Genomic DNA, 24,225 nt, shown 5'->3' on the forward strand with positions numbered 1-24,225 from the left:
TCTGCATAGTCTTTTTGGGATAGAGATGTTTTCACCGGAGAGCTGGCACCCGAGTGCTGTGTGCATTTGCCACAAAGGTTTCTGAACAAGAACTCCTGCAGGAGATTCCGGGGGAGGCCCAGGAGCCAAAGCCTGTCTATAGACAAGGAATTTTTAAAGATCCGCCCCCATCTGCAGAGGTGGAATTTTTAAAGAGAGTTACATTGCTATAGGAATGGAGGCATTAATTTTTCTTATTTTGTCTGGCGCAGTGGCTCACGCTTGTAATCTCAGCACTTTGGGAGGCTGAGGTGGGAGGACTGCTTGAGCCCAGGAGTTTGAGACCAGCCCGGGCAACATAGCGAGACCCCATCTCTACAAAAAATAAAAAAAATTAGCTGGGCATGGTGGTGCACACCTGGAGTCCCAGTTACTTGGGAGGCTGAGGCAGGAGAATTGCTTGAGCCTGGGAGTTCCAGGCCATAGTGAGCTGTGACTGCACCAGTGCATCTGAAGCTGGGTGACAAAGCAAGACCCTGTCTCAAAAAATTTTTTTAATTGTTTCAACATAAGTGGAGTGAGGGCCCTGTGTTAGTGTCCCATGGCCCCTCACTTCTCTGGATTTGAACTGAGCTCATTGTGCTTTAGGGTCCCTCTGGTTTTACCCAACCCCCAAACAATTCCCCCTGGCAAAGTTACAGAACAGGTTAAAAACAACAACAACAATAATTATCTATATCTGTATCTATATCTATATCTGTATCTATATCTTGACAACTGGATCATTATTTCAACTTTAATGAGTCAGCGAGTAACCTTAATGAGTACCATGCTGTGATTTATTGCCAAGTCACCTATTTTTTCAAATATTTTTTGTATAAAATATTTAAGGCTACATCTGACTTTGGGTCTTTGGAAGTGATTAAGTTTCCTCTAAATGTCAAATGCATCCCCTAGTGTTTTGGCCACAGCCCTGCCAACAAGCTTGCTTGACGAGAAGCTCAGTGCTCTGGGGGTGCTGGCAGTTCGTCACTCCAACTCAACAGATGTTTGCATCAACTAGAAAAGATGCAGCAGACCTAAATATTATCAGAATTGTTTTAAAAGTTAAAATTAAGGCCAGGAACTGTGGTTCATGCCTGTAATCCCAACACTTTGGGAGGCCGAGATGGGCGGATCACCTGAGGTCAGGAGTTCAAGACCAGTCTGGCCAACATAGTGAAACCCCTTCTCTACTAAAAATACAAAAATTAGCTGGGCATGGTGGCGTGCAACTGTAATCTCAGCTACTTGGGAGGCTGAGGTAGGAGAATTGCTTGAACCCAGGAGGTGGAGGTTGCAGTGAGCTGAGATTGCGCCACTGCACTCCAGCCTGGGCCACAGAGTGAGACTCTATGTAAAAAAAAAAATTAAATTTTCTCTATTTTTCCTTATTTGATAGAAAGAAATTAATAAACTCCAAATACCAAAATGGTTTTTTAAATGACGTATCCTGTCTCCAGACCAAAATGATTAAAAAAAAAAAAAAATGTTTAGAGCCAGGAACGCTGGCTCACACCTGTAATCCCAGCATTTTGGGAGGCTGAGGTAGGCGGATTGCTTGAGGCTAGGAGTTTAAGACCAGCCTGGCCAACATAGTGAGACTCCCCATCTGTTTTTTTTTTTTGAGACTGTGTCTCGCTCTGTCACGCAGGCTGGAGTGCAGTGGTGCCATCTCAGCTCACTGCAACCTCTTCCTCCCGGGTTCAAGCGATTCTCCTGCCTCAGCCTCTTAAGTAGCTGGGATTACAGGCACCGGCCACCAGGCCCGGCTAATTTTTGTACTTTTAGTAGAGACAGAGTTTCACCCTGTTGGCCAGGCTGGTCTCAAACTCCTGTCCTCAGGTGATACACCCGCCTCGGCCTCCCAAAGTGCTGGGATTACAGGTGTGAGTCACTGCACCTGGCCAAGACCCCCATCTTTAAAAAAAAAAAAAAAGATCCGGGTATGTTGGTGCATGCCTGTAGTGCTAGCTACTGGGGAGGCTGAGGCAGGAGGATTGCTTGAGCTAAGGAGTTTGAGGTTGCAGTGAGCTATAATTATACCACTGTACTCCAGCCTGGCTGACAGAATGAGACCTTGTCTTCAGATAGATAGATAGATAGATAGATAGATAGATAGATAGATAGATAGATAGATAAATGAAATTTAGTTTAAAAAACCATCTTAATCCCAGCCTAAGGTAGGCAGGGAAAAGAGGACTGCCTGGGCGCTGGATGGGAAGACTCTGTCCCCATTAGGGAGGTTGGGTGAATCCCCAAGGCCTTCCAGCAAGGAATGTTGGAGGCTGCCAGTGCCCTGAGCAAGCTGTTCATCCTGACCAAAGTCTGCCCACCGCATGGTCCCTGCAGGGAGAGCAAACAGAGCAGTCCTTCTGCAAGACCAAACGTGTTTCTCTAAATTTCCTGCTCCAGGCTGAGGGAGGCTCATTCCAAGGACCCGAATGCTGGCATTTACACTGGCAGAAGCTGGGCTCCCTAAGTCTCAAGTTTCCCAGAATGATCTGACTTGTTTACATTACAGTTCAGGAGGCAAACTGAGAGCTCGTGAGAAGCTGTGCTTATTTTTTTAGGGCTTCAGCAGTTACACACACACATGCACACACACACACAGATTGAGAGTCCAAACCTTCTTTCTTCCAAGAGAAGGTTGTATTTATATTTTAACAAGTCTTCTTGGTCTCTCTGCTACGCATTTCTACTTAACTGTTCTAAAGGTCAGAACAAGCCAACCACATGATATTCTGTAGTAGTGCAGACTCTTCACCTAAGGGCTACAACACCCCTGAAATTATATGCCAAACTGTATGTGCATTCTCCCCCCTAGAATCAAGAGGACATGGCTTCCATCAAAGGGTCAAAAAGGGCTGTAGGTGTTTAAAGGCCTCAGCCAACTGTTCGAATTTCAATGCCATGGCAATGATTAATTTCTGTTGTCAGCAAGAGAATATTTCTAAAGGATCATAGTCAAAGTTTTTCACCAGTCCCTCCCTGCCCAACACAATACAACGCAACATACGTATCCCAAACCAGACTACAGAAGCCATATTTTTGTTTTCTGAGAAAAAAATACTTTTTCAGATAGAAAAGTATCCTTGTACCCCAACCATCATCCTGAATTCAATTGTTAATATTTGTCCTTCAAAACTCTAAACTTGTTCGTGTTTGAAAGAGAGAAAACATTACAGATAAAACTGAAGCCCTCTTGGTTCCCAAATTCCCCTTCCCAAAAGTAACTGCAATGAATTTAGCGTGTACCCCTTCAGCCCAGTGTTCGAAACTTGTGCAGACATGTAGTCCTGAATAATATTACAGTATTGCTTTTATATCTTATGTATTTATTTATTTTTGAGATGGAGTCTTGTTCTATCCCCCAGGCTGGAGTGCAGGGGCATGATATCGGCTCAATGTAGCTTCTGTTTTCTTGGTTCAAGCGATTCTCCTGCCTCAGCCTCCCAAGTAGCTGGGACTACAGGCATGTACCACCATTAATTTTTGTATTTTTAGTAGAGACAGGGTTTCACCATGTTGGCCAGGCTGGTCTTGAGCTCCTGACCTCAAGTGATCCACCCACCTTGGCCTCCCAAAGTGCTGGAATTACAGGCGTAAGCCACTGTAATTACGGGCTGCTTTTATATCTTTAAGTGGTATCATATTGATTGCATGTTTCTTCATTCAATATTATACTTTTGAAATCTGTCCATATTGATACACAAAAATCTTGCTCATGCCTTTGCATTTGCCAATTTGTATTTTAACACTTAAATGCGTCAAATTTTATTTATTCACCATTAATAGATACTCAGGTTGCTTTAATTTCTTGATTTTGTAAATAATGCAACAATGCATTACTTTGGACACATCTCCTTGTGAGACACAAGGAGACACATCTAGACACATCTCCTTGTCTAGAGTAGAGACCTAGAAGTGCTGGGCCACAGGGTATATGCACCTTCTGCCAAATGGGTCTCCAAGGTAGACTGTAGCAATTTTCACTCCTCCAGCATCACATGGAATTCTGTCCACTCAGGCTAAGATGGGAAAGTACCTAGTCCGAGACCTCCTGCCTCCTTCCACCTTTCTGTGTTCAGGAGCCTACTTCTCTGAACATAGAGAGGCTTCTGTGGGGAATCTAAACTGGGTTTGATCCATGAAACATGCTCACTCGCTGTGGTCTGCACCGTGGGGTTGTGCCACAGCCCAACTGTTAAACCTCTTAGTTTCTATTTTCTCCTGACTTGATAAACCAAGTGGAAACTCTTCACCTGCTCATACCTGTGTCCTAAGCTAACCCCTGAGCAGGGGGCCTAGCATTACATTGGTTTGATCTTAGATTCCCTAAGGTCGACGTTGCTGCTTGGTTTGGCTTGTCCATTTATTACTTGAGTATTTATTGAGCACCTAGGTGAGGGGTGCAAAGGTGAACAAGACAATACTTATGGATTCGTTACCATCTGGAGAGGTGGGCACTGGCAGCTGATCTCAACCAGTCCTTCCAACCTGCCTATGAAATAGGTACCATTATTAGCCCCATTTTACAGAGCAGGACACTAAGCCTTTGAGTCCAGGAAGATCTCACTTGCCCAGGCTTAGCTAGGATTCCAGCCCACATCTGTCCACAGATGCAGTCTGAATAACTGCCTTATTCTTCCACAATGTATTAGAAGTTAGCTGGGATGACAGGCCACTTTGGTTAAGGGGATCAAAGGAGAAAGGAAGGGATATTTGAAATGGGCCTAGAAGGCCATTTTCAATTTTAATGGGAAATGATGGTGAGAAGGACAGAGGATGCACACGGGCATCAGGTGGGAAAGGGCAGAATACATTTGGGGAGTGGTGGGGGAATGGATGGAGTTAAGAAAACTGTAGAAGTGGAGTAGGACATACACCAGAAATACAAGTAGGGATCTCATCACAGAGGGCCTTGAATGACAGATAAGGAAATGGTGAGTTACCTGAGGCTTTTGAGCTGGGGAGTGATGTGATTAGAGTCAGCAGCAAGAAAGAGAATGGAATTGTAGGGGAGAGCAGGGAAGCTGGGAGGCAGGGCTGGGAGGGGAGGGAGACGTGGAGGCCAGCCCTGCTCAGCATCCATTCCAGCCTATGCTGGTAATGTCAGAAACCTGAAGACTGCAATTCACACACTTCTTTGTAGCTAGAGTTCTGGACAAGGATTCATGTAGCCTGCATGGGTGATACAGAGGCTGCTTGGTGCTGGGGTCATTTGCTTCTTCATTCGAGGACTTCCGCATGGCAATGGTGGCTTTCCAGTTTTTTTGTTTTTTGTTTTTTTTTACACAGAGGTAATAGGATTCCAAGAGTTAGGTATTGTTCCTGGAAGCTCTGCTTCAAATATCTTTCCCAGATTTTTCAGCAATGTGTTAGTTACCTGAACCCGAGTTCTCCTAAAACTAGCTTGAGTGGCTGTTTCTCCAAATGAACTGACACCATTGCAATAGAATTAGTAAGGACTTCAACTTGGATGAAAAGCATCAGGGCTGGAAAAAAGGAGGAATGGACGAGCACATTTTGGAGGTAGAAATGGGCAGGTTGAGGTAAATCTTTGAATGTGGGATGGAGGAAATTGTCAAAGATTATGCTGAGGCTTTACACAGGGACAATGCAAGGAGTGACAGAGTCATTAATGGGTACAAACAGTAGATTTTGAGAAGCTGCCCTTAATCTGAAGCTTTGGGGAATCAATTGCCTGCCCAGAAGCGTCTGTGTCCTGGAAGCTAAAGCTCTATGAGGACAGCTCTTTGCCAATTTATTCACTATCATAATCACTTTGGCTATGTGCTTGGCATGTGGTAGACACTCAAGACATACCTGCTGAGGAATGAAATTAGGGTCCAACATGCAAAAGGAATTATGGGAGGAAAATATTTTTAGAGCAAGAGGATAGGAAATTGTGTAGGAAGGATAAAAGGAGTTGAGAAGTCAGAAAAAGACTACTAGAGGCCAGGCATGGTGGCTCATGCCTGTAATCCCAGCACTTTGGGAGGGTGAAGTGGGAGGATCGCTTGAGGCCAGGAGTTCAAGACCAGCCTGGGCAACACAGTGTGACCCCATCTCTACAAAATATATTAATACAAATGTTTTTCAAATTTTTAAAAAGAAAAAGACTACAAGATATAAATAGATAAAACAGAACTTTTTTTTTTGAGACAGAGTATTACTCTATTGCCCAGGCTGGAGTGCAGTGGCATAACCTCAGCTTATTGCAACCTCCACCTCATGGGTTCAAGCAATACTCCTGCCTCAGCCTCCTAAGTAGCTGGGACTACAGGCGCCCACCACCACGTCTGGCTAATTTTTGTGTTTTTAGTAGAGACGGGGTTTCAACATGTTGGCCAGGCTGGTGTCGAACTCCTGACCTCAAGTGATCTGCCCACATCAGCCTCCCAAAGTGCTGGGATTACAGGTGTGAGCCACTGTGCTTGGTAAAACAGAACATTTCAAATGCTTTTCTAAAAATAACTTTTTAAAAACAGTTGAAGTAAACATAAATACAGAAAGTATATATCATACATGTATAGCATAAAGAATTATCACAATCAAGTAACCACCTTCCTGATTTAAAAAACCAGAATATCCCTAGCATAGCTGGAACCTCCTGAATGACCCCTCTTAGCCATTAACTGCCACCACCTAAAAGAAACCACTGTCCTTCTTCTAACAGCATAGATTAGTTTTGCCCATTTTGAACTTTATATAGTTATATAGCACGTATTCATCTATATCTGACTTCTTTGGCTCAACATTATGCTTGTGAAATTCGTCCATGTTGTTGCATGTAGCAGTAATTTATTCATTTTCATTGCTGTATAGCATTCTGTAGTATGAAAGTACCAAATTTATTTATCTATTCTACTGTTGATGGACTTTTAGCTTGCTTCCTGGCTTTGACTTTAATAAAGCTGCCGTGGGCCGGGCGTGGTGGCTTACGCCTGTAATCCCAGCACTTTCGGAGCCAAGGAGGGTGGATCACCTGAGGTCAGGAGTTCAAGACCAGCCTGGCCAATGTGGCAAAACCCCATCTCTACTAAAAATACAAAATTAACCAGGCGTGGTGGCGCACACCTGTGATCCCAGCTACTCAGGAGGCTGAGGCAGGAGAATTGCTTGAACCCAGGAGGCAGAGGTTGCAGTGAGCCAAGATTGCACCACTGCACTCCAGCCTGCGTGACAGAGCAAGACTCCATTTCAAAATAATAATAATAATAAAGCTGCCATGAACATTTTACTTCAAGTGTTTGGTGTACCTATGTACACATTTATATTGGGTACATATCTAGAAGTGAAATAGCTGGAATATATTCAACTTTAGTAAATACTGTCACACTGTTCCAAAGTAGTTGAATTAATTTATATTCTACGCAACAAGCATATTTTACAATTATCCTACATCTTCTCCAAAAAGGCTTAGTGGTTTCTGTATTCTGTTTAGCAAACCTTATCAAACCTTAAAGTCATGGAAATCATGTCACATTTTATCTTTTAAAAGATTTATTGTTTTATTTTTCACATTTGGGTCAATAATATGCATGATGTTCATGTTTATATATGTTGTGAGGTAAGGTTCATGTTTATATATGTTGTGAGGTAAAGATTAATGTATGTTCCATTTGTACATCCAGTTATGTCAGCCACTATTTATTTGAAATAACTTTCTCCATTGTTCAGCAGAACCATTTCTAACATATATTACGTATCTTCATAAATGTGACTCTGATTATGGATTCTCTATTCTGAAATTTTGACCCTACCATCTATCCAGATCCTATAAATTTTCCCTCTTAATATTCTTTATTCCTTGTTCCAAGAAATAGATATTAATGATCAGTCATTTATCCAATTTGCAATGAACACAATGAGTTTTATAATGAATGTTATGCTGGATTATTCTATTGGGAACTATGTTCCCTAGAATTTCTTTCTCTGTATGATTCTGGGTCAAGTTGGCAAAAAGTGAAGTTGTGTGAGATTTAGGAAGCAGAGATGAAGCAGGCACCATTGTGATCTAAAGACTGATGTTGGTGAGAGGTGATGAGACACAGACACAGACACACCAGCAGTTTCATTTGCCCTGGTTCTTCCCACTCTGGGTCCACCTGTCCTTTCTCCCTGCTAACTCTGCCAACAACAGCAACCCCAGGACTACCAGCACATGCTGTGCTGTGAACTCAGAGGCTGCAGTCATGAAGAGCCAACAGCCTTTTGTAGACTGAAGTTTGAAGCATGGCTTCCAGGCTTCCCTGCAAGCTGGGGCTAGTAAGTAACTTTTCTCTAATTCTTCATCTCCTCTTTCCAGACCTTTACCTTCCAGCTCCTCCCCAAATTGTGCAAAGTCCATTTCCTGTAATAAATTCCTTATCTCATAACTTATAGTGGTCCTGCTTCCCTGAATGAACCCTGACTGATACGCTCACGCTGAAATAGTCAACAAATGTAAAAGTGGCAAGCCCTAAAACTGCATATGGTAAAATCTGCAATTGATGAAAAATTGACAGAAGAACTGCATATGGATATTCTGGGCTGACAACATTGGCAACATCATCACGTTGTTGTTTTGAATTTAAGATCTTGAAGCTGGCTAATTTGCTTCTGTTCTAGAATCCTTCCTCTACCCCATCCCTAGCCTCCTTGGATCATTCCCTTGTCTCTACCCCCTTGTGTATATTTCCCTCCAGATTAGGGGCTTGTCTTGTCCTATTTGTCTTTGCACTCTTTGCCAGAAGGGAAGCAAACCCTGTGTTGTAAGAATTCAAGGAAGGAGTGATTAGTTCTGCTCAGGAGAGCTCCCAAACGTCTCCATGGGGGTGCTGGCACGTGACCTGGGCCTAAGTGTCTGATCAGGACCTCAGTGGGCAGGAAGAGGGAAGAAGTAAGAATAGATAACATTTATCTCCACGTTGTGTGCCAAGCACTGTGCTAAGGGCTTTACGCATTAACTTATTATCACATCAATTATGTGAAGCAAGCACTATTATATCCTCGTTTTACATATGGGGCAACTGGGAATCAGAGTAATTAGAAAACTAAACCATCATCACATTCCCCTACTAATATGCAAGCAAAGTCCAGGGGTGGGGGTTGGTTTGTCCCAGAATTTAACAGCCCTTCCTTAAGAGTGGTACTTTTTAAACTGCAATATAGGGAGCTAAGCTATGAGGACGCAAAGGCATAAGAATGACACAATGGACTTTAGGCACAGGAGGAAAGGGTGGGAATGTGGTGAGGGATAAAAGACTACACATTGGGTACAGTGTATACTGCTTGGGTGATGGGTGCACCAGAATCTCAGAAATCACCAGTAAAGAACTTATCCGTGTAACCAAATACCACCTGTTCCCCAAAAAACTATTGAAATAAAAATAAATAAATAAATAAATACAGGCCGGTTTGATGGGTCACGCCTGTAATCCCAGCACTTTGGGAGACCGAGGTGGGCGGGTCACTTGAGGTCAGGAGTTTGAGACCAGCCTGGCCAACATGGTGAAACCCCGTCTCTACTAAAAATACAAAAATTAGCTGAGCATGGGGGTAGGCGCCTGTAATCTCAGCTACTCGGGAGGTTGAGGCAGGAGAATTGCTTGAACCCGGGAGGCAAGGTTGCAGTAAGCTGAGATTGCACTACGGCACTCCAGCCTGGATGACTGACTGGGGCTCCATCTCAAAACAAAAAACCAAACAAACAAAAAAGTAAAAAACAAACAAACGAAAACAAAGATGTTTTTCCAGACATGAAAAACAAACAAACAAACTGCAATACAGTCCTTGAATATGTGAGGGAAGCCTGGAAAATGGGAGGAGTGTGTGTGAGTGTGTGTGTGTGTGTATGTGTGTGTTGGCGGTGGTACTGATGTTTTGTGTTGTTTTCTTTTCTCCTGGGAGAACAGAAAAGAGGCAAGAAGAGAAAAGGAAAAAATAGAGGGATGATTCTGTAACCTCATAGAAGGTGGTAGAAATGGCTGAGGGATGTTTTTAAGAACACGACCAAGGAGATTATAAAGTATGACTAATGTTCACTTTTAAGTTGCCTGACTTTTGCTGGACGTGGTAGCTCACGCTTGTAGTGCCAGCTACTGGAGCGGCCGAGGTGGGAGGATCACTTGAGACCAGGAGTTTGAGATCAGCCTGGGCAACATAGCAAGACTGTCGCTAAAAAGTTGCCTGATTTTCTTTAGTGTAAAGCTCTCCATCTTCCTGAATTTTTAGTAAAAATAGAGTCTGCTGCACACGCAAAGACATGTCAGTGTGAATTTATGGAAAATAAGGAAATGGCTGAGGCTTGCATTTGAGTTATACAAAATAGCAAGATGAGCCCTATGCTGAACTAATTCACAGAAGCAGAAGGTCAGAACAAGAGGCAACCCAGACCTCAGGTCTCCTGGGAACTTGCAGAAGTCTTAGAGGAGGCACTGGGCTTTCTAGTCTGTAGAATGGTGTACTCCAGAAAATCTTCTCTGGATCTTAAGGGGCAAGAAGGCTCCAGGTAACTCTTCTATTATTTAAGAAACTGGGTGTGTGTATCCAACCTGGAGGCAGGATCTGTGAGCTTGGAGACAGGCTAGTAGCAAATGTTGCTGGAGGTTGGGGGCCAAAATAGAGTGCTGTGGGGAGTTGAGAGGGGACAGATGTAGCCCTTATGCTCATGGAATTCAACAACTATTAGGAGACTCAAAAATATACAGATGAAAGGATGGGAAAGCAATGCAAGAAGGTATCCAGCTCGGCGAGGGGGCTCACACTTGTAATCCCAACATTCTGGGAAGCCAAGGCAGGAGTATTGCTTGAGCCCAGGAGTTTGAGACTATCTGGGCAATATAGTGAGATCCCATCTGTTAAAAAAAAACATAGGCCAGGTGTGGTGGCTCACGCCTGTAATCCCAGCACTTTGGGAGGCTGAGGCAGGCGGATCACAAGGTCAGAAGATCAAGACCATCCTGGCTAACATGGTGAAACCCCGTCTCTACTAAAACAACAAAAAATTAGCCAGGCGTGGTGGCAGGCGCCTGTAGTCCCAGCTACTCAGGAGGCTGAGGCAGGAGAATGGCGTGAACCCGGGAGGCGGAGCTTGCAGTGAGCAGAGATTGCGCTACTGCGCTCCGGCCTGGGTGACAGAGCAAGACTCCATCTCAAAAAAAAAAAAAAAAAAATAGCCAGGTGTAGTGGCACACCTGTAGTCCCAGCTACACGGCAGGGTGAGGTGGGAGGATCACTTGAGCCCAGGAGGTTGAGGCTGCAGTAAGCCATGATTGCACCACTGCACTCCAGCCTGGGTGAAAAAGCAAGACACTGTCTTAGAAAAAAAAAAAAAAAGGTATTTAATTCAACATCAAAGGGAAAGATTCATATGGCCTCCCACTTTTGTTTTTATTTTTTAAATAAAAAATTTTTTTAGAGACAGAGTCTTACTCTGTTGCCCAGGCTGGAGTGTAGTGGTGTAGTCATGGCTCACTTCAGCCTAGAACTCTCAGACTCAGGCAGTCCTCCCACCTGAGCCTCCTGAGTAGCTGTGGTGTGCCACTACAATGGGCTTTTTTTTTTTTTTTTTTAAATAGAGTCAGAGTAGAGTCTCTCTATGTTGCCCAGGCTTAAACTCCTGACCTCAAGCAATCCTCCTGCTTTGGCCTCCCAAAGTGCTGGGATTACAGGTGTGAGCCACCTCACCCAGCCTAGATCCCTTCCAAAATCGACTTGCTGTTTAGTTATTTTGAATGGCCTTTGGTAGTGAAAGCTTTTGAAAATAGTCAACAGGCTGCCTAAAAACACTAGCCTTCTGAGATCAGATGATATTGGGCGCATTCAGGGTGGCATGGCCGTAGACTAAAAACACCAGCCTTAATGTGTGTATACAGCACAGACAAATGCACCAGCCACCTGCCATCTTCCCCCACATTCCCCCAAACCCTGCCCTGGGAACTACCCTCTTTCAAATCCTGATCAAAATTAGTAGGGAACAAGGAAATTTAGGCCCTTTTGATCAGGAACTTCATTTTGACTTCCAAAATATTTTGACCTTTGAAAATATTCTAGAACAAGATCCTAACTTATCTCTCAGTGTTGATGGTCTCCTATGAACGCCCAAGTCAACAAATGTTTATTGAGCACAGACCATGTCAGGCACTGGGAGTTACAGAGAGAACCAAGACCCAGCCCCACCCTTGAAGAGCACAATGACTTACTAAAATCCAGAAAAGACTTTTAAATACACAATGACCTGGCCTCTAAACAGTCTTGAAGAAACATTCAACATTTAAGCTTTAAAATACTCTTTCTGGCCAGGCGTGGTGGCTCATGCCTGTAATCCCAGCACTTTGGGAGGCCGAGGCAGGCAGATCACCCGAGGTCAGGAGTTCGAGACCAGCCTGGCCAACATGGTGAAACCCCATCTCTACTAAAATACAAAATTAGCTGGACGTGGTGGTGGGTGCCTGTAATCCCAGCTACTTGGGAGGCTGAGGCAGGAGAATCGCTTGAACCCGGGAGGCAGAAGTTGCAGTGAGCTGAGATTGCACCATTGCACTCCAGCCTGGGAGACAGCAAGACTCCGTCTCAAAATAAATAAAATAAAATAAAATAAAATACTCTTTCCCAGACTTAACCTTCTTTCTTTTGGTACCTTACCTTGCCAAAAGAGGGTTTTGTTGTTGTTGTTGTTGTTAAATATTAAAATGTCAGGGATGTTCTTTCTTTTAAGAGATTGCTCAACAGGGCCTTATGTTTCTCAAAAGAGAACTTACATACAAATTCAGTAACTTCATGGAATAGAATGAGAGGCACTATCAAGCAGGCTTGAAGTTGAGTGACATTAAATCTACTTTTCAGACTTAATTAAGCCTGAAGCCCACAAATACCCTCACTCCCAAATCACCATTTATTGTGGAAGATAAAAGCAAATGACTTAAAATAAAGAAGAAAACCTGCAAAACAACATCTTAGCGTTCTGTCAGAAAACACGGAGTCCTCTGAGGACAGTTAATAACAAAATTAATCCCAAAGAGCTAATACCCACCCCCTGTACTGCTGTAGAGTAGCTAATCACGATTTCCTCTTGCCTGAAGGCTGTTTCTGGAAACAAGGACAGGTCCTGCCCTTCCCAGGTGAGCACTCTCAGGTGGGTTGGGACTGCTGCTAGGCCACTGTTTCTTAAGACTGCCTTCTTTTCCAGGCTCAGGGAAACACCATTGCCTTTTCCTAGATTGCTGAGAATTTCCAGAGGCCTACGGCCAAAGCATCTTCTTCTGTGGCATATGTAAGTTCATGGATGGATCGCTTGCTGCCCTCAAGTGTGGTCGCTGCTCAGCACTCTGTGAACCCGGAAAGAAATCTTAGCCCCTTAGAGTGACCATTAAAAGCCTCTCACAAAGGAATCTGTGTGTGTGTGTGTGTGTGTGTGTGTGTGTGTGTGTGTGTGTGTGTGTGTGTAGAGAGAGAGAGAGCATGTGTAGCAAGCTTGATTAATGGTTTGGTAAAATGGAGGAGTCTTATATTCCAGCAACACAACATCAAACATTTTAGCAAGCTCTGCTCTTACAAATCTTTCTGCCACCCCACTTGTGGCCAGAAGGGTTTGCTCCTACTCTCCCTCCTTGAAATTGCATTTGCAAAAATTAGAACAGTGAGAAAATTATGATAATGAAAGAGATCTGATCTAACAAACTCCCTCTTGCCGCTAACCTTCAAACTGCACTTGATCATTCCTGGGTGTAGCCCAAGCTAACTTTGGGAGAATTTTAATTTATAGCTTAAATAATAGTCCTTCCTAAAACTAAACTGCCTTTGTAAAAGTAATGAAAGACTACTAGGTTTGGAGGATGAGAGGGGTCTGAATTCTGCTAAAATGTAGGCATAGTTAATTACCAGCCATTGTTCTGGAGGTCATAACATTTGTGACTTCCCCAATTACTTCTGTAAATAACATTACTATTGTAGAACTTAAGCTTGGCCTTTTGAGATGTCTTTTCAGACTTTTGCATTTCTGATGACCGGGTGACTCCACTGGGACCAGAGACTCAACCCTCAACAGGTCCTGTGGCCCCCACCTAGAAGTGGACTCAGCGCACAAAGACCATTTCCACACCCCTATGACTGTATCCCCAACCAGTCAGCAGCAGCCATTCCCTAGCCCCTCCTGCCAAACTATCTTTAGAAAACTCTAGCCTCCAATTTTTGGGGAGGCTGATTTGAGTAACCAAAAATTCCAGTCTCCTGTTTAGCCAGCTTTATGTGCATTAAACTCTTTCTCTATTGCAATTCCCCTGTCTTGATCCATTGGCTATCTGGGCAGCAGGCAAAATGAACCAATCATGCAGTTACATCCTCTCTCCTCACTCCCCTTTTTATCTTCTTCTCTTCTTTTGACCTCAAATTCAAGTTCTTCCCATTGGATTGCAACACCTTGGGACAATTTAGCACTGCTCAGCCCCTGCTCCTAAACCCAGCTCCAGCCTGCCTCTGCACCACTCATAGTGGCTTGGCTAAAGAGCCTGATTCTGTTCCTAGACAAAGGCCATCTCTCCCCCATGGGTAGCGTGGTAGTTCTTAAATATGTCTACAGATTCTTTGATACTTCTTTCAAAGGGTGACACCTATGTCTCCTCCCCTTTAGTATGGGCTATGCTTACTGACTCAATTCCAGTCAATAAAGGGCCACAGAAGTGACATGTGACTTTCCAGATGAGGGCAACAAAGACACTGTGACTTCCTCCTTAGATCACCCACTCTGGGGCAAGTCAGCTGCCCTCACAAGGACTCAGAGAAGCTTCTCTCTCTCTTCCCATCCTCCATTACTAATTCTTCCCAATAAACACCACCACACATAACTCTGGGTCAATGTGCAAAGTGTGGAAGGGGTAGAGGGGGAGGTGCTGGGTCACAGCAGAGAAGTAGAGAGATGAGACTAAGGCAATTGAGTGCAGCAGAGCAGTGCATGGGCTCCAAGCCACAGCAACCTGTGTTGGAGCCCCAGTTCTGGCTCAGATAGGCTTGGTATAAGGCTTGGCCCAATGTAAGTATTCTTGTGATGATAGCAATTATGGTGATTATTATTGGTTGAGCACACACTGTGTGTCAAGCTCTATGCTAGCTACATTACACACATTACCATATCATTTTCTTCCTTTCTTTTTCTTTTTTTCTTTTTGAGAAGTAGTCTCACTCTGTTGCCAAGGCTGGAGTGCAGTGGTGCAGTCTTGGCTCACTGCAACCTCTGCCTCCCAGGTTCAAGCTATTCTCCTGCCTCGGCCTCCTGAGTAGCTGGGATTACATTCGCACACCACCACGCCCAGCTAATTTTTGTACTTTAGAGACCGGGTTTCACCATGTTGGCCAGGCTGGTCTCAAACTCCTGACCTCAGGTGATCCGCCTGCCTTGGCCTCCCAAAGTATTGGGATGACAGGCGTGATCCACCACATCGGCCTGCTTTCTTTCTTTCTTTTAGATGGAGTCTCGCTCTGTCGCCCAGGTTGGAGTGCAGTGGCGCGATCTCGGCTCAATGCAAGCTCCGCCTCCCGGGTTCATGCCATTCTCCTGCCTCAGTCTCCTGAGTAGCTGGGACTACAGGTGCCCACCACCACACCCGGCTAATTTTTTTGTATATTTAGTAGAGACGGGGTTTCACCGTTTTAGCCAGGATGGTCTCGATCTCCTGACCTCGTGATCCACCCGCCTCGGCCTCCCAAAGAGCTGGGATTACAGGCATGAGCCACCGCACCCAGCGTCTGTTTTTTTTTTTTAGAGACAGGGTCTCACTCTATCACTTAGGCTGGAGTGCAGTGGTACAATCATAGCTCACTGCAGCCTTGATCTCTCAGGCTCAAGTGATCCTCCTGACAGCCTCCCAAGTAGCTGGGACTATGGGCATGCACTACCATGCACAGCTAATTAAAAAAAAAACTTTTGTAGAGCTGGGGTCTCACTATGTTACCCAGGCTGGTCTCAAACTCCTGCCCTCAAGCGGTCCTTCTACCTTGGCCTCCCAAAGCACTGGGATTACAGGTATTGGCCACCATGCCCAGCCTCGTGTTTCATGTTAATACTCACAGAGCAACTCAACAAGATTGATATGTTGTAGTGATAGAATAGTGTTTCCCCAAAATATATGTCCAAATTGTGACTCTAGATACCTGTGAATGTGACCTTATTTGAAAATAGGGTCTTTGCAGATAGAACAGAGTTATTGATTTGGGGATGAAATTATCGTGGATTTACAGTAAATCTAATGACTGGTGTCCTTACAAGACAGAGGAAAAAAAGATTTGAAACAGGAGAGACACAGGAAAGAAGGCCATGTGAGGATAGAAGCAGAAGGTGAAATCTTTGTTGCCACAAGTCAGAGAAGGCCAGAGCTGGAAGGATCCTCCCCTTCCAGGATTCTCTTTGGAGGGAGAATCAAAGGCCAAGATGTCAGCTTGGCCTTGCTGACATCTCAATTCTGTGCTTCTGGCCTCTAAAACTATAAAAGAATACATTTCTATTGTTTTAAGCCACCCAGTTTGAGGTCATTTGTTACAGCATCCCAGGAAACAAATACATACACATATATATATATTTTTTTAGATGGAGTCTCACTCTATCGCCCAGACTCGAGTGCACTGGTGCAATCTCAGCTCACCTCCTGGGTTCAAGTGATTCTCCTGCTGCAGCCTGGGACTACAGGCGTGCGCTACCATACCTGGCTAATTTTTGTATTTTTAGTAGAGATAGGGTTTCGCCATGTCGGTCAGGTTGGTCTCGAACTCCTGAACTCAAGTGATCGGCCCCCCCCCCTTGGCCTCCCCAGGTGTTGGGATTACAGATGTGAGCCACTGCATCTGGCCTGAATACACATGTTTTTGTCCCCACTTTACAGATGAGGAAATGAAGGCTCAGAAAGACAAACAAATTTGCTGAGTCTGTTTTTATGCAAAGAGTCAATTTATGCTAGATACACATAAAGCTACAGAGTGCTCATAAGATAAATGATCAGGAACCCAAAACAGGAAAATTAGGACAAATGTGTAGCTCTAGGTCCCTACTGAAAAAAGGAAAATAGGTTCACATCATTTCAATGGGCAAATTCACACAAATACCAGAACTCATTTAATTAGGTCAGGAGAAACCCTCTTGGAAGGAGAAAACTAGCAAAGTAGAAGGTTGGGTAACATGTAAAACAACTCAGCAAAACTGTCTATGGAGAAGACCAGTCCATACCAGACAGAGCCAGCCCCAAAGGCGGATGACCTAGACTCTTGGGAGACTTTGAGCAGATTAAATTAATAGAGCAATTAGGGGCAGGAAGCAGACTAAGCGTCTTAAAATCTGGGAATCCAAGAGGAAATTTTCAGAACAATTTAGCTTGTAGGAAGGAATCGAGTCATGCACTTTTAATTTCTCTCTGTTTGGTTTCTTTTCAATATGCTGAAATGGCAAGTCTGAAGAGCAATAAATAAACACAGGTTTCTTCTGAGACACAAACAGCAGGGAATCATTAATTTTTAAGGTCCACCCATTTCCCAAGGAGCCTTGCCTGGTGTTTGAGCTTTAATCAACTCACGGGAACAAGTTTCTCCTAACCTACACCATTATCATCCCAGGAGCCTTCTCTTGTCTTTTGGGGGGAAAGAAAATTGGCATTTTCCATAGTTGCAAAAATAACAAATGCTCAATATACAAACTTTGGAAAATTTGAAAGGGCACAAAGTAAAGAAAAGGAAAAAAGTAAGCACCATAATCCCATCTCCTACTTTTGTTTTCTTTGAGACAGGGTCTCATTCTGTCACACAGGCTGAAGTGCAACAGTGCAATCACAGCTCACTGCAGACTGGACCTCCCAGGCTCAAACGATCCTCCCATCTCAGCCTCCTGAGTAGCTGGGACTACAGGTGCACACCACCATGCGCGGCTAACTTTTTTTGTATTTTTTGTAGAGACGGGGTTTCACCATGTTGCCCAGGCTGGTGTTGAACTCCTGGACTCAAGTGATCCACCCCCCTCAGCCTCCCAAAGTGCTGGGATTACAGGTGTGAGAGCCACCTCGCCCAGCCCCATCTCCTACATTTTGAAATATATTCTTCTGCTAGTTTAGATATAAGGATAAACATGTAATTCAAAACCAAATTGCCTTTAGCTGCTCCTGCATGTTTATGGGAGGGATGGTGAAACCGCCTTTGTAAAATCATGACTGAGACAGTGAAAGAGATCTAACTTAACTGACTCCATCTTGCCTCTAACCCCCAAGCTGTCCTTGTTCATTCCTGGGCATAGGCTGAACTAACTTTGGGAGAGACTTAGTTTTTCTAATTTAAACAAAGACGGTAACAGCCCTTTCCCAAAGCAGACCGCCTTCTTGCCTGGGGAGTAGATTGCCTTTGTAGGACTAACATTACCCACAAGATTAAAAATTATGGTTTAGGAGTCATGCAGCTGGAAGTCTACAAGATTCTGACCCTCCTTAAACTGGTCCTAAGATCAGTGCTGGAGATATTTTGCAGACCCTGCACTTGATAGATCAGCTGGCACCACCCAGATCAATAAACTGGTTCATCGGATCTTGTGCCCCTGGACCCCCCGGAACTGATTCAGCACAAGACAACAGTTTCGACTTCCTATGATTTCATCCCTGACCAATCAGCACTCCTGGCTCACTGGCTTCCCCCCACTCACCAAGTTATCCTTAAAAACTCGACTCCCCGAATGCTTGGCGAGACTGATTTGAGTAATAAAAAAAACTCCGGTCTCCTGCACAGCCGGCTCTGCGTAAATTACTCTTTCTCTATTGCAATTCCCCTGTCTTGATGAATCGGCTCAGTCTAGGCAGCAGGCAAGGTGAACCCCTTGGGCAGTTACGGTGGCTGAGGACATAATTCGTATTTGTGGAGAAAAACATAACATCGAATATTATTTACTATGTGCCAAACACTAAGCACTTCATACATATTAACTCTAAGAAACTTTTGTCTACTGCCTGCCAAGTTCAAAGATATTCTTCTATATTTAACTCATTTAATTCTCAGCAACCCTACTAAATATTAGTCCCACCCCATTCTGTAGATAAATAAACTAAGGCAGGGGAAGAACTGTGCCCCAAACCGCACAGCTGGTAAGTGGCGGAACCAGGACTTCCTCCAGAATCTGCTCCAGAAGCCTGCGCTGTGCTGTGCACTCCGTGCGCTGTGTGCTCCGTGCGCTGTGTGGTCCGTGCTCGCTGTGTGCTGTGCACGCGGTGCGCTCTGTGCTGTGTTGCATGCTCTGTGCTGTGTGCGCTGTGCTGTGTGCGCTGTGCTGTGTGCTCTGTGCTGTGCTCCGTGCGCTGTGTGCTGCGCGTGTGTGCTCTGTGCTGTGCTCCGTGCGCTGTGTGCTTTGTTGTGCGCTGTGTTCTACGTGCTCTGTGCTGTGCGCTGTGCTGTGTGCTGAGCTGTGCTGGCATCGTTCTCACTCCTCCTGGTGGCTGTGGGAGGATGGACTGGTAAGGCTTTCTCTTTGTTATCTTCTGTCCCAGACCGGATGTCTGTCACAGTCATCAAGGGGTCTTGTCTGTAATGCCAGGAGGTGTAGCACGAGATGGGAAGGTGGGGGACACACTGAAGCGAGGAAATCCTAGAGGGAGGGCCAGCCTGGAGGGGCGCAAATACCGTCGCCCCCAGGCCCCGCCCCACCCCGGCAGCCAGAGCCCTGCAAGCAGTGGGGGCTTTCTACATAAGAGGCATCCACGCTGTGCTGCTCTGAACATTGAGAGAATGTTAGGCTGGGCGTGGTACAGGCTATGCCTGTAATCCCAGCACTTTGGGAGGCCGAGGTGGGAGGATTGCTTGAGCCCAGGAGTTCAAGACGAGCCTGGGCAACAGAGCCAGATCCGATCTCTAAAAAGAAAAAAAAAAGAAGAAAGAAAACATCTGCCACATGCTCATTTTCCTTGCGAAGGTGGTTTTGGAGGAATCCAGAGAAATGGCTGAATCCCACCTCTGAGCTGGAGCAGAGAAGGGAAAAAAGAAGTCTGGTTGGTCTGAGAATGAACCCCACAGTCCAGAGGCAGCAGTGAGCTCCTGGGAATCTGGATAAACTTGAGGAGGACACTGTTCATTGTACTTTACGCCAACGTGGACTGGAGGATACAACCCGTTTTATTTCAGTCCCAGAGTGACCTCGGATGACACGTGGGAGAGCGCTGTACATTCATGCATATATATACATGTATGTGATTTGTAACATGTATATTATGTGGTTTATATAACAGATGCATGACATAAACATGTACCGGTAGAGACGTAGAGAATTCTTTATAAAAAGTGACATAATATAATGAATCAATAAATCTATATATATAGTATACATTGTATATTATGTAAATGTAACATGGCATATTATAAAACATCTATAAAACAAACATAACACATATACTGTTTTATATATGATATGTAAGCACATATTTATATACTCTTTATTAAAATGTAACATTATATGATTTAATGTTTTTCCCTTTAAATTTTTTTAACAAAATGGGACATTATTATATACACAATTTTGCGTGTTTTTAATTTAGGAATATACTGTGTATGCTTTATCTTTTCAGTAATATTCTTTAAGAAGATGATTGTTAATATATTTTTATATTCTTCTGTTTGTTTTTGAGGCGGGGGTCTTACCATGTTGTTCAGACTAGCCTTGAACTCCTGGGTTCAAGTGATCCTCCTTCCTCAGCCTCCCAAGTAGTTAGGATTACAGGCACACACCACTGCACCCATCTATATTTTTATATTCTATATGCAGGTACCATAATTTGCTTAATCAGTCTCTTATTTTGGTTATTTGTTTCTGTTTTGAGTTTTTGCTATTATAGGTAATGCTGCTAATGAACTTTCTTATAAATAGAACTTAGATTCTGATTTCGTACATCTTGCCAGCACCAGTCAGGGTCGACAGAAAACAGGTGGCACACTAAACCTGGGCAATTGAGGGACATCTAATAAAAAAGGTACAAAGGTGTAAGCTGGGTTTACGGAAACCAGCCAGGGATGATGCAGTGCCTCAGGGATATTACCTCCTCTCCAATATTTTGTTATTGCTTCATTTTTCACTTCTTTTATTACTCATGAGGTCAAGTCCTTTTTATATGTTTAATTTTCTTTTGTGAATTGCTTTTGCCCATCAGGGAGTTCACTTATTCTGCTTAGTTTGTGGCGTGTTTTATAAGTATATTAACTATTGGTTTGTTTCCTCAAATATTTCAGTTGGTTTGTTATTTTTTATATGTGGTTCCTGTTGTTTTGATACACAGGAGTTTAAAATTTTTACACTGTTAAACTATTAACCTTTGCTTATATGTTTTAGAATGATGCCAATTTAGTAAGACTCTATAAATGGAACTTAGAGTCTATTTTATAGTTTCTTTTTAACCTCTAATTCTTATCTTCTTAACCAGAGCTATAACTTTCATTATCAAGTAACCATTTATGCTAAACCTGAAAAAACTGAATATGAGTCTTCCCCCTAAAAAATCTTTACAAACACAGGTGTCAACATGAATCATCGTATTTCCTGACCTTGTGGTCTTCCATTACGGTTTCAAAGCAGAGAAGAGTAACTCTGCTATTTTTTTTTTAAGCAAATTCATCTTCTAGGTGCTGCAAATATGATAAACTCTGCTTTTTTAAGGAGAATGCTTGCCTGAGCCGTAGCAGACATGCCCTGACTTAACACATCTAAGTGAAGCTAGAGTATTTTTTTCAGGAATCATCTTTATGATGTTCAAGATGAATTAAATGGAGGAAAAGTAGGTTTTAAAAATAAAATTAGGCTGGACGCAGTGGCTGGCCGGGCGCGGTAGCTCACGTCTGTAATCCCAACACTTTGGGAGGCTGAGGCAGACGGATCACTTGAGATCAGGAGTTCAAGACCAGCCTGGCCAAAATGGAGAAACCCCGTCTTTACTAAAAATACAAAGATTAGCCGGGCATGGTGGTGCATGCCTGTAGTCCCGGCTACTTGGGAGGCTGAGGCAGGAAAATCGCTTGAACCCGGGAGGCAGAGGTTGCAGTGAGCTGAGATCGTGCCACTGCACTCCAGCCTGGGCAACAGAGCAAGATTCCATCTCAAAAAAATATAAATAAATAAAATAAAATAAAATCAGGCCAGGCGCGGTGGCTCACACCTGTAATCCCAACACTTTGGGAGGCTGAGGTGGGCAGATCACTTGAGGTCAGGAGTTTGAGACCAGTATGGCCAACATGGTGAAACCCCGTCTCTAATAAAAATACAAGAAAATTAGCCGGTGTGGGGGCGGGCACCTGTAATCCCAGCTACTCGGGAGGCTAAGGCAGGAGAATTGCTTGAACCCAGGATGGGGAGGTTGCAGTGAGCCGAGATTGTACCACTGTACTCCAGCTTGGGTGACAAAGCGAGACTCCATCTCAAAAAAATAAAGTAAAATAAAATAAAAAATAAAAATAAATCAGTTCGTAGACTATGATACAAATATAAAAAATAATATATAAGCATAGGCTTGGGGCTAGTCATTCTGTGTTGCAATCCAACTTCACTACTTACAAGCTGAATAATAGGAAAAAAACCTTTTCCTTTCTATACTCACACTCATTCTTGTACTTCATTTCTGATACCAAACGTGTGGTTTTTTTTTCTTCCCACACATCCATTCTCCAGTGGACACCAGCTTGTCCTAAATTTCAGTCAATTCTGACACCATCTACCTGGAGTTAGCTTCAGAACTCATAAGTTAAAGGCTCAGTCCTGCAAGACAGGCTCCTACTTCAGGTCCCAGTTGCAAGTACAGGCCTCCTGTGCTTCTGACCAAGGCTATAAATCAGAGGTTTCCATAAGCCACTCCTTGGGTTTGATCATTCATTAGAATGGCTCATAGAACTCAGGGAAACACTTAAGTTTACCAGTTTGTTATAAAGGATATTCCAAGGACACAGAAGAACAACCAGAGGAGATTCTGTAAATACCTTCCCAGCAATAAATATGCTCAACTAAAATTATATGCTCATAAATTGCTATCAGTATTTGGTAGTACCTGTCTAAAAAGACATTTTTACAGTTGAAATACATAAAATTTCATTACACATTAGTATTAACAGATGAACGTCTGCAATAGATTTTGATGATAGGGAACACCAATTTTGAACCTCAATCAAAATTTTATCCTCTCTCAATGAAAAAAACAATTTTTTTTGAGACAAGGTGTCACTCTGTCTCCCAGGCTGGAATGCAGTGGCACAATCACAGCTCACTGTAACCTCTACCTTCTGGGCTCAAGCAATCCTCCCTCCTCAGCCTCCTGAGTAGCTAGGACTACAGGCACACACTGCCATGCTTGGTTAATTTTTTAAATTTTTTGTAGAAATTCCTGGACTCAAGCAATCCTCCTGTCTCCACCTCCCAAAGTACTGGGAGTCCAGGCATGAGACACGGAGCCTGGTCTAAAAATAAAAAACTTAAATTAGGTTTAGTTGGGCCTCAGCATCAAGTGTTTCCTCCTGTCTGATGGTTCTGTTACATGGAATCAATAAAATCCTGATCCCCACCTATGTGTGATTGCAAATGGTCACGGCCTTTAACAACATGCTGGTACTCTCAGGATATCCTTCAACTAAACTAATCTAAATGCTTGAAAAAGCAGATTTTTGTTTAAAAACTGAATCTGCTGCCAACATGTCTTGTCACGAATACAAGTCCACTGAGTAGCATCCAAATCATAATAAACATTCAAATGATTAATATGTTCTGTTTACCACCTGGTACCCTCACTTGCCAGTTATTGCACAGCTCACTATTATGCTGGGCTTGATTTTAAGTGAATGGGTAAGTACAGCCTGAATTTTTTTTCCGTTTCTTTTTTATATGGAACATTTCATGAATTTTCATATCATCCTTGGGCAGCAGCCATGATAATTGTGTATCATTCCAACTTTAGGATGTTTGCTGCCAAAGCAAGAACCAGATCTGAGTATTTTTAAGAAATGAGGGTAGAGGCCAGGCACAGTGGCTTATGTCTGTAATCCCAGCACTTTGGGAGGCTGAGGCGAGTGGATTACTTGAGGTCATGAGTTCGAGACCAACCTGACCAACATGGTGAAACCCTGTCTCTACTAAAAATACAAAATTAGCTGGGCATGGTGGTGCTCACCTATAATCCCACCTACTTGGGAGGCTGAGGCAGGAGAATCACTTGAACCCACGAGGCGGAGGTTGCAGTGAGCAAC

At 43.7% G+C, this 24,225-nt stretch overlaps 2 long non-coding RNA genes and 1 pseudogene across 2 annotated transcripts in view, besides 5 other annotated features; 2 read left to right on the forward strand and 1 right to left on the reverse strand.

The window, feature by feature from the left end:
• LOC105375683 (uncharacterized) overlaps positions 1–13,397 on the forward strand; it is a 110,442-nt gene extending 97,045 nt beyond the window's left edge. Inside the window, exon 5 of the long non-coding RNA NR_168428.1 lies at positions 13,196–13,397. This is a non-coding gene — a long non-coding RNA (uncharacterized LOC105375683). The remainder of the gene's footprint in view (positions 1–13,195) is intronic.
• Positions 19,215–19,434: an enhancer, noted in NCBI's record as "active region_27758". NCBI's record gives its function as "activates an Ori minimal core promoter by ATAC-STARR-seq in GM12878 lymphoblastoid cells {active_cell/tissue: GM12878}" and the evidence as "EXISTENCE:reporter gene assay evidence [ECO:0000049][PMID:35858748]".
• LINC03047 (long intergenic non-protein coding RNA 3047) lies at positions 19,438–20,468 on the forward strand. The gene is made up of 2 exons (XR_001745731.2): positions 19,438–19,472; positions 19,928–20,468. It is a non-coding gene; the product is annotated as a long intergenic non-protein coding RNA 3047 (long non-coding RNA).
• Positions 19,615–19,664: an enhancer, noted in NCBI's record as "active region_27759". NCBI's record gives its function as "activates an Ori minimal core promoter by ATAC-STARR-seq in GM12878 lymphoblastoid cells {active_cell/tissue: GM12878}" and the evidence as "EXISTENCE:reporter gene assay evidence [ECO:0000049][PMID:35858748]".
• Positions 19,735–19,784: an enhancer, noted in NCBI's record as "active region_27760". NCBI's record gives its function as "activates an Ori minimal core promoter by ATAC-STARR-seq in GM12878 lymphoblastoid cells {active_cell/tissue: GM12878}" and the evidence as "EXISTENCE:reporter gene assay evidence [ECO:0000049][PMID:35858748]".
• Positions 21,695–21,744: an enhancer, noted in NCBI's record as "active region_27761". NCBI's record gives its function as "activates an Ori minimal core promoter by ATAC-STARR-seq in GM12878 lymphoblastoid cells {active_cell/tissue: GM12878}" and the evidence as "EXISTENCE:reporter gene assay evidence [ECO:0000049][PMID:35858748]".
• Positions 21,928–22,428: an enhancer, noted in NCBI's record as "H3K27ac hESC enhancer chr8:103543539-103544039 (GRCh37/hg19 assembly coordinates)". NCBI's record gives its function as "activates a minimal SCP1, AML or CMV promoter by ChIP-STARR-seq in primed H9 embryonic stem cells {active_cell/tissue: H9 hESC(primed)}" and the evidence as "EXISTENCE:reporter gene assay evidence [ECO:0000049][PMID:30033119]".
• Positions 23,858–23,956, reverse strand: RNU6-1224P (RNA, U6 small nuclear 1224, pseudogene; annotated as a pseudogene).

This window comes from Homo sapiens, chromosome 8 (assembly GCF_000001405.40).
Source record: "Homo sapiens chromosome 8, GRCh38.p14 Primary Assembly".
NCBI lineage: Eukaryota > Metazoa > Chordata > Mammalia > Primates > Hominidae > Homo > Homo sapiens.